The sequence below is a fragment of the Homo sapiens genome, chromosome 7, assembly GCF_000001405.40.
Source record: "Homo sapiens chromosome 7, GRCh38.p14 Primary Assembly".
Taxonomy (NCBI): domain Eukaryota; kingdom Metazoa; phylum Chordata; class Mammalia; order Primates; family Hominidae; genus Homo; species Homo sapiens.
In genome coordinates, this window is record NC_000007.14 from 125,844,550 (window position 1) to 125,854,470 (window position 9,921).

The following is a 9,921-nucleotide window of genomic DNA, read 5'->3' on the forward strand; positions in this document are numbered from 1 at the left end:
AATTAACAACTCAATATAAAATGAGTTGAAGGCTTGAACACTCTTGACAAATTAATACATGCAAATGGCCTATAAACACGTGCAAAGATGTTCAACATAAACAGTCAATATGTAAATCTAAACTGAATCCACAATAAAATATCAGTTCACTCCCACCAGAATGGCTGAACCAAAAAATATGACAAAGCAAAATGTTGGTGAGGCTAAGTATCCTCTGACCTATTAATTGCCGGTGAGAGTATAAAATTCCTTACTCACTTTGAGAAATTGCAAAGCAATTTCTTATAAATTAAATATATATCTACTATTTAACACAGTGTTTTAATTCCTAGGTAGTTACATAAACAAAATCATCGAATAGACTTAGAAAAGAATGTGGAACCCTTCTTCATGATTTACGATATACAATACAGAAACCATCCAAATGACCAACACCAGAAGTATAGACAAGCAAGTCATGGTATGTATCCATCCAGTGACACGCTATTAAGCAACAACAAACAATAAACAATAATAATTGCATACAACCTCACTTATGTAAATATGCAAAATATCAGCAGTGGATCTCAACTATGTATAATCATCATGAATTGATCTTGAAAATGTTATGGTAAGAGAAAAAGCCAGACAAAAATGAATAGTGTACTTACTGCATGAATCCAAACTGAAAATTTATCTATGATGATTGAAAACAGTTGCCAACATGGGGAGAAACTGACTGGAGAGAGGCACTGTAGGACTTTCTGTGGAAAGAGAATAGAAATACACTACGACTTGTTTGGGGTGATGGTTTACAGGCCTGTAAAAACTCACCTAAATGACCACTTAAAATTTATGCATTTTTTCAGCAATAATTCAAAGAAAAACTTGAAGTTTTAAATACATAAAACTGTACAAATATTAAAATATATATCTATAGGTAATAGAAAATCTTCATTCTGGTTATGCTTATATGTTGGGTGAAATGTCAGCAATAATAACAAAATACCTTCTTTGAAAATTTCAGTTTTCTTATCTGATATGGAACAAAAATTCTTGCAACAGAGTACTGAAATGATTATTTGAATACAAACAAGGATAAAGACTGTTTCTTCACTGAATTGCCCCTGAAATCAATATTTGTAAAATACTTCTCATTATATTATCTTTTTCTTGAATAAAACCTGTTTTAAAAGTACACGTATTTTTACACACTATTAAATTTGCATGGTTAGTTACCCTCCAAAAACTCAATAATTATTCTTTTCAACTGATAACTAAGAGAGTGGAAACAAGAACTCCTCTGGTTAATTGCAAAGCAATGTGGTTTTCCCAACAGGGTATCTTTTCTAAGTAGTACTCTACCATCTGCAACCCTTAGGCTATAAATTCTGAAGATGGATGTAACAGCAGCTTGAAAACAGGACTTTTCAAACTGAGAGATGTTAATATTCTTTCCAGTCTTCTGGTATTTGTGTAGTAAGGCTATATCATTTTATGTATAAAATGCTTTAATCCCCAGGTAATTATATTTTGCTCCTGATGCTTGAAATCATAATGAACCTGAAACCTAAGATTCTGACAAAATCGCATGCTATTTTGCTAACAAGTAGCTCGGTGGTTTTAAACCTTGCCTGACTATTATAATCAGCTGGGGTTAAAAAAAGAAAAAAGGTCTTGCCAGGAATTCATCCCAGAACAATTTAATTATAAACTTAGGAAGTCATGCAAAGGCATCAGTAATTCTTAAAACCTTACCAGTTGATTTTAATATGCAGGCAGGATGTGGAGTCACTGATAAATACTAAATGTTGATGCCTATACATATCATCAGAGGAAATAAGTGGGGAGCAGACAGGTGGGAATAAAAGTCGTGTTGTCACTAAATCCTGCACTCCTGGAAGCAATAATCAGATGGCAGAGAGCTATGATTGGCAGCCTAGAAGAATATGGGTTATACCGAGTGACAGAAAAGATGACAGCTGCAGATTGTAATAGTTGCCTGCAACTTATTGTGCAAACTATTTTTATTAGTGAATTTGTTATTCTACACAAAGTGAGATTTAGGACATAAGAAAGGCCTAAAGTGGTTTTCAGGTGCATAAAAATTACCTCTCATTCAAGTTATAAAATGAGGTTTGGTTGAAGTGGTTCTTTGGTAGGGCTCAAGAATCTGCATTTTTAATCAAAGTTATTCTGATGCAGCTTGACCACAGTATATGTGTATATAAGTAATGATCTAAAGGATGATGATGCCCTACACAGAATAAATTGTGTGATTTATAAAAAGGGAAGCAGTATCATAAAAAGAATGTGACACAGAGGAAAAATGAATTAAATGAATTAAAACTACTATTTGGTCATTGTTTGGATCATGGGGACAGATCTTTCATAGCTTGGAGGTGCCTTTGTGATAGTGAGTGAGTTTTCATGAGATCTGGTCATTTAAAAGTGTGTGGCAACTTTTCCAACACTATCTGTTTTCTTCTGCTCTGGCCCTGTGACGTACCTGCTCCCCTTCACTTTCTGTCATGATTGTAAGCCTCCTAAATCCTCTGCAGAAGCTGAGCAGTTGCCAGCACTGTTTACTGTAAAGCCAGTGGAACAATGAGCTAATTTTATTTATAAATTATCCAGTATCAGATATTGCTTTATAGCAATGCAAGAATAGCATAATAGAAAATTGGTACCAGGAATGGGGTGTTGCTATAAAGATACCTGAAAATGTGGAAGAAGCTTTGGAACTGAGTAGCGAGCAAAGATTGGAAGAGTTTGGAGGGCTGAGATGTAGACAGGAAGATGAACGAAAGTTTTAAACTTCTAAAGACTTCTTAAATGGTTGTGACCACAATGCTGATAGTGATACGGACAATGAAAGGCTAATAAGGTGTTGGGTGGAAATAAGGAGCTTATTAGGAACTGGAGCAAAAGTCACACATGTTATGTCTTAGGGAAGAACTTGGCTACATTGTGTCCATATTCTAGGGCTCTGTGCAAGTTTGAACTTCAGAGTGATATTTAGGGTATCTGGCAGAATAAATTTCTAAGCAGCAAACATTCAATATGTGGCTGGACTGCTCCTAGCAGCCTACACTCAGATGCAGGAGTAAGGAAATGATTTGAAGTTGGAATTTATATTTAAACAGGAAGCAAAGAGTAAAACTTTGGAAAATTTGCAGCCTGACCATGTGGCAGAGAAAGAAAAAGCTTTTTCAGGAGAGGAATTCAAGCAGGCTGTGAAGCAACCACTTGCTAGAAATATTTGCATAACTGAAAGGGAGCCAAATGCTAATATCCAGAACAATGAAGAAAAGGTCTCAAAGGCATTTCAGAGACCATTGCAGCAGCCCCTCCCAACACAGGCCCAAAAGCTGAGAATGGAAGAGCGGTTTAATGGGCCGGGGCAAGGGCCCCATTTGCTCTGTGCAGCCTCGGGACACTGTGTCCCACATTCCAGCAGCTTCAGCTCTGGGTATAAGGGGCCCAGGTACAGCTCAGGCTGCCACTGTGGAGAATGTAAGCCCTAAGCCTTGACAGCTTACATGTGGTGTTAAGCCTGCAGGTGTGCAGAGTGCGAGAGTGGTGGATTCTAAAGAAATGCCTGGGTGTCCAAGGCAGAAGCCTGCAGCAGGGACAGAGCCCTCACAGAGAACCTCTGCAAGGCCAGTGCAAAAGGGAAATGTCAGGTAGTAGGTCTCCACTGGGGCACTGCCTAGTGGAGCTGTGAGAATGGGGCCACTGTCCTTTAGACCTGAGCATGGTAGAGCCATCAACAGCTTGCACCTTGTGCCTGGAAAAGCCACAGGCACTTAAATCCAATCATGAGAGCAGCCTCAAAGGCAGCACGCACTCTGCAAAGCCAAGGTAGTGGAGCTGCCTAAGGACTTGAGAGCCTGCCCCTTGCAGCAGTGTGCCTGGATGTGGGACATGGAGACAAAGGAAATTATTTTGGAGCTTTAAGATTTAATGACTGACTGCCCTGTTGGGTTTTGAATTTACACAGGGCCCGTAGCCCCTTTCTTTTGGCTGATTTCTCCTTTTTAGAATGGGGATGTTTACCCAATGCCTATACCCCAAATGTATCTTGGTAAATAACATATGATAGAAGTAAATTAATTAATTTTGACTCATTTGATTTAATTCATGTCTTCATTCAACTGAATATTTGTTTTGTCTCCCTTCTTTGCCAATAGTGGCCAGATGTGGTTGCAATCAGAATCACCTGGGGAATGTTTTTATAAACACTGATATTTGGATCTCACATTTAGGGATATACCAGGGCAAAGCCTGGGAAGTGGGAAGTTTTTAAAACATCCTCAGGTAAATATTAATATTAAGCAAATTTTGAGAACAACTGCTTTATGTTCAAGTAAATTGGGCTATTAACATTATTCAACAAATTGAGAGTTATGTGTTAAGAATTGTTCTAAAGAATTTGAAATACTAAATGAGCCTTGGTTTCTTAATATTTTAGAATATTGTCAAATTACTCTAATATGGATAAGCTGAGTATTAGAGAAAATAAAACAGTAATTTAACAGAGTACTACAAAATTATAGTTAGTATAGTTGTAATTTTGCACAATGTATCCTTTTTCCCACTTTTTCTCTACCCAGGAAAGTAAGTCCCTCTCTAGCCAATATTGGAGCGTGTTTGTTTTATTTTACAGCAGAAGTATACTGATTTACCTAGAACTTCTTTAGAAAAGCATATCATAAAATATTTCAGAGCCATTCACAATCTAAAGTTCTGTGTAAGTGATAAATAAAAATCACCTGTGTTTGACTCCATTCTCATTGATCATATTGCAGTTCTATTAAGATCTTTTGACTCCAGAGCCTATTCACCTGCCAAACATTTAAATAAAAGACATTTCTAAGGGAGCATAACTGCACATAATCATGCTATTTCATTTTAGGTCTATGGCCATAAAAAATATTTTGTTCCTGCAAAATGACAGAAATAATAGTATTATTAATCTAAATTAAAAGGTAATATATTTTCTCTGTTTTGTGATGTTTTAAAAATAAATAAAAACTAGAATATATTCATTTTAAACTTACTTTAAAAAATATTTTGGTATGTCTTTACTGTGTATATTTGATATGGGATAAATAAAAAAGTATATAGTTTGGGTTATAGTAGTACTCCTTATCCTTGGGGGATGTGTTCCAAGACCCCCAGAGAATTCATGAAAGCATGGATAGTACCGAACTGTAAATATACTGATTTTGTATAACTTACGATAGAATTTAATGTATAAATTAGGCACAGTAAGAGATTAACAACTGTAACTGATAATAAAATAGAATAATTATAATAATATACTTAATAAAAATTATGTGAATGCAGCCTCTCTCTCTCTTTCTCAAAATGTCTTGTTTTATTTTCACCTTCCTTGAGATGGTCTGAGATGACAGAATGCCTACGAAATTAGATGAAATGAGGTGAATGATGTAGGCATTGGGATGTAGTGTTTTCTACTACTGACTCCACATCCCTGAATCTGTGTAACCATCCCTTACTTGCAGTAAATGGCGTGGTGTCACTCGTTTCAGGGGATCCCTTGCTAAATTCTTTCTATAGGCTCAATGCTTTCTGGTGCAACACATTGCCATAAATCAGAACACGTTTCTGTTTATGTCTTCCACCCACACATGCAATGTCTTTTCCATCTTAACTAAGCACTTACCAAGCACTATTGCTGTAACTGTTGCAGTTTGAGGTGTGACAGGAAAACTAGCACAAATATCTCTCTCTTCTACGATTTCATGGATAGAGGATTTACTCTTACTGTAGATCTTAGAAATCTACAGCACACAATGATTTTCCCTTCACCTTTCATTTAAAGGAAGCACTTTGTGGCTTCTCTTTGGCATATCCCAATTGCCAGCATCACTAGTGTTGTGCTTTGAGGCCATTCTTAAGCAAAATAAGGGTTACTGGAGCACAAGTACTTCAGTACTGAGACAGTCAATCTGATAACCAAGATGGCTCTTAACTAGAAGCAGGGAGTGTAGACAGTGTGGAGATTCCGGGCAAAGAGATGATTCACATCCCGGGCAGGAGGAAGCAGAAGAGAAGGAGATTTCATAATTCTGCCCAGAATGATGCACAATTTAAAACTTGTGAATTGTTTATTTCTGAAATTTTATGTTTAATATTTTCAGACCACGGTTGACTGGTTAACTGAAACTGCAGGAAGCAAAATCGTGGATAAGAAGGGACTACCGTGTGTGCCATTTTCCCACATTTTAAAGACTGGCATTAAATGATTTTATAAAATATAGCTATGAGTTATTAAAAAATCAAAAAAGTAAAATTCAAGCAAAATCATAACTAAAACCTAAAATGCCTGTGATAGTTAATTTTAGGTGTCAATTTGACTAGATTAGGGAATACCTACAGAACTGATAAAGCATTACTTCCATGTGTGTCTGAAAGTGTTTCCAGATGAAGTAGGCCTGTGAGTCAGTGGACTGAAAGAGTGGGGAAGATCTGTCCTCCATGCAGGCAGGTACCATTTAATCAGCTGGGGGCTTGGGTACAACAAAATAGCAGAGCGAGGCGGGGGGGGGTTCTTTTCTTTCTCTCCTGAAGCTGGGGCATGCTCCTCCTCCTGCCCTTGTGCATTAGGCCATAGGACTCTACAGCTTCCTCAGCTTCCATAATAATGGAAGCCAATTTCCCTAATACATGCTCTCTCTATCTATCTATCTGTCATCTATCATCTATCCCTTATTGGTTCTTTCTCCCTGGAGAACCCTGATAACATAGTGCCTAATATATTTATTCATTAGCTGAATAAAAGCTGAAGAAAGGCAACTCTTTCATCCTGGGTAACACACGGAGATGCCATCACTAAAAAAATAAAACAAAATTGCAAGGCATGGTGGCGCAGGCCTGTAGTCTTAGCCACTTGGGAGGCAAAGGTAGGACGATTGCCTGAGCCCAGGAAATTTGGTGCTGCAGTGAGCTAGATAGCACCACTGCATTTTAGCCTGGGTGACAGAACAAGACCCTGCCTCTTCGAAAAAGAAAAAGTGGGCAGGTGGGCAGGGCATGATGGCTCATGCCTGTAATCCCAACATTTCAATAGTCAAGGCAAGTGGATTTCTTGAGCTCTGGAGTTCCAGACCAGCCTGGGCAACATAGCAAAACCCTGTCCCTACAAAAAATTGAAAAATTAGCCAGACATGGTTGCACCTGTAGTCCCAGCTACTTGGGAGACAGAGGTGGAAGGATTGCTTGAACCTGGGAGGTCGAGGTTGCAGTGAGCCAAGATGGCACTACTGTACTCCAGCCTGGGCAACAGAGTGAGACTCTGTCTCAAAAAAAAAGAGAAGAGACAAGAAAAAACTCTTAATATAAGATGGAAAATTTATTGGAAATTTTTAGTTACTAAAACTGTGAGGTTTGCATTTATATCCTTTCCCAAATAAAAATATTTTAAATGATATGCAACATACATGGAAGACAATAGTAAACTACATTATAACTTGTCACAAAGCTGGAAATTTGTTATTTTACATGCATGTCATAAGCAATAGGTTGGTTATTATAGATACTATGGTAGTTAATGTTAGGTGTCAATTTGACTGGATTGAGGAATGCCTACATGGCTGGTGAAGCACTTTTTCTGGGTGTGTCTTACCAGGTGTTTCCAGAGGATACTGATACATGAGTCAGTGGACACAGAGAGGAAGACCTGTCCTCAAGATGGGCAGTCACCATCCAATCTGCTGGGGGCCTGGCTGGGACAAACAAGCAGAAGAGGGATTTTCTGTCTCTCCTCTCTCTCCTCTCTCTCTCTCTCTCTCTCCGTTTACTGTCTTCCTTCTGAAGTGGGATGCTGTTTTTCCTCTGCCTTTGGACATCAGACTCCAGGTTCTTTGGTTTTTGGACTCTGGGACTTGCACCAGAGGCCTCCCGGGAGCTCTCAGGCTTTTGGCCTCAGAGGCTTACCTGGTTCTCTGGCTTCCAGACTGAGCCACACTATTGACTTCTCTGGTTCTCCAACTTGCAGACAGCCTATCACGGGACTTCATCTCTGTGACAGTGTACATCAATTTCCCCTTACAAATCCCCTCTTATATATCCTAGTGGTTCTGTCTTTCTTGGAGAACGCTAATACAAATTTATACCATAAACCTCCTAAGGTAACATAATTGTAATACTCTCATATAGTCATTCTAAAAATGTATAATACTGTCAAGAAACTTTAAAATACATACTAATAAAAAGCCTCTAATAAAGAATAATAATATTAGAACCGGGTAACTCAGAAATTTAAAAGTTATATGTTTTTTTCGGCTTACTAAAATTTTTTCGCTGTTTTCAGAATTTGTTTAGAGCAAATACTGCTTCCAAACAGCACATCCCTATTTCACACTTTTAATTTACTTTCTCCCTAATAGAGATATTTTATAAATATATAAATTATCCACATAAAATATAGTTGAAATGAAACTAGATAAAATATTGCTGTCATTTAAAAAACTCAAGTTTTTGAGCATCCAATCAAACAAAATTAAAACAAAAATTTCATAGTACAAATTATAAATAAATCAAAACAATTATGTGTATAACAGGAAAACAAAGTAGTGGGACATTAAACCAAAGCTAGCTTAATAGCATGTCCTATGTATTTAAGTACTATACCATTTAATATGAATAATTTTATTTAAATATATAAACAGTATAATTATCCATTACTTCAGCATATTCATTTTTTATTGTCTTTCATTTAAGTAAAACATGGTTCTAATAATTTTTGAAATATTGCAAATATCATGCTCCTATTTTTTTTTTTTTTTTTTTAGACAATCTCACTCTGTCACCCGGGTTGGAGTGCAGTGGCACAGTCTCGGCTCACTGCAACCTCTGCCTCCCAGGATCAGGTGATTCTCCTGCCTCAGCCTCCTGAGTAGCTGGGGTTACATGCACATGCCACCTCACCCTCATGCCTCTATTTTTATGAAGCCACAATTGTAGATACAATTTTTGAATTACATTTAATTTACATTTTGATCCTAAATATTTTCACTGTAATATCAAGTTTTGTTTCCTGGTACCGTCCCCCCAGTAGGGTTAAAAACTTTTAAAAGTAATGTATAATACTGAGGCAATGAGAGCAGCAGACTGGCAAAGAGAAAAAAGGAAGAGCAGTTCTGAACTTTATATACCTCAATTAGTGGAATATTTCTAGGAGCTGTTTGCTCTCATTTTAAACAAATGTCTAACACCTTTCCTGTACAGGCACATCCTCTCCTCACTCATTGTTCTTTCTTCAGTGATAAAAGCGACTAAACTGAAAAAAAAAAAAAAAATTCTTCTTCAGGAGGCTGTTGTGATGTCTATTTCAAGGCGGACCCCCCTCCCCAGTGGCCTTGACAGTGCTCACAGCAGGATTATAAGGGGAGGTCCATGGGACCTTATAGCATCCATTACCTCTTTGCCATAACAACACCTTAAAATTGCCAGGAAATGATCCAAAGAGGCGGGTAATAACTACAACTAATGGCTCATCTCCTGAGAGACTGGCAGGGGTAACTGCTTTGTGCTTTACATCTCTGTAGTCTTGTGACCTTCAAACACCAGCAGAAATCTTGGCATCCCACATCATTACTCTTTACCTAAGCCTTTATACTGATTTAATTATGGTCACAACATGCCATACCAATCTGACTCCAAAGCTCTTAAAATCTACCTCTGAGATTCAGTTTTCTTTAGCAATTCTAGAATTCAAATTCTAGAACTTATAATTCTCCCTAAATTCTAACCCTCTTCTCTTGATATTTTTAGTGACTCTAATCCCCACGTAAGTGATTAATCTAACACTCTGGGTTTAACCATCTCACTTCCAATAGTAATTATCTTTACCCCAATTCAGCTACCGATTCTACTGACCATAGCCTAGACCATAGCCTAGACTCCATCATT

General features: G+C 37.5%; 1 long non-coding RNA gene across 1 annotated transcript; it reads right to left on the reverse strand.

Moving 5' to 3' along the window:
* Positions 1 to 663: 663 nt before the first annotated feature.
* Positions 664 to 9,497, reverse strand: LOC105375487 (uncharacterized). The gene is made up of 3 exons (XR_927933.3): positions 9,430 to 9,497; positions 4,755 to 4,826; positions 664 to 743 (listed from the first exon to the last, which is right to left on the reverse strand). It is a non-coding gene; the product is annotated as an uncharacterized LOC105375487 (long non-coding RNA).
* Positions 9,498 to 9,921: the final 424 nt, after the last annotated feature.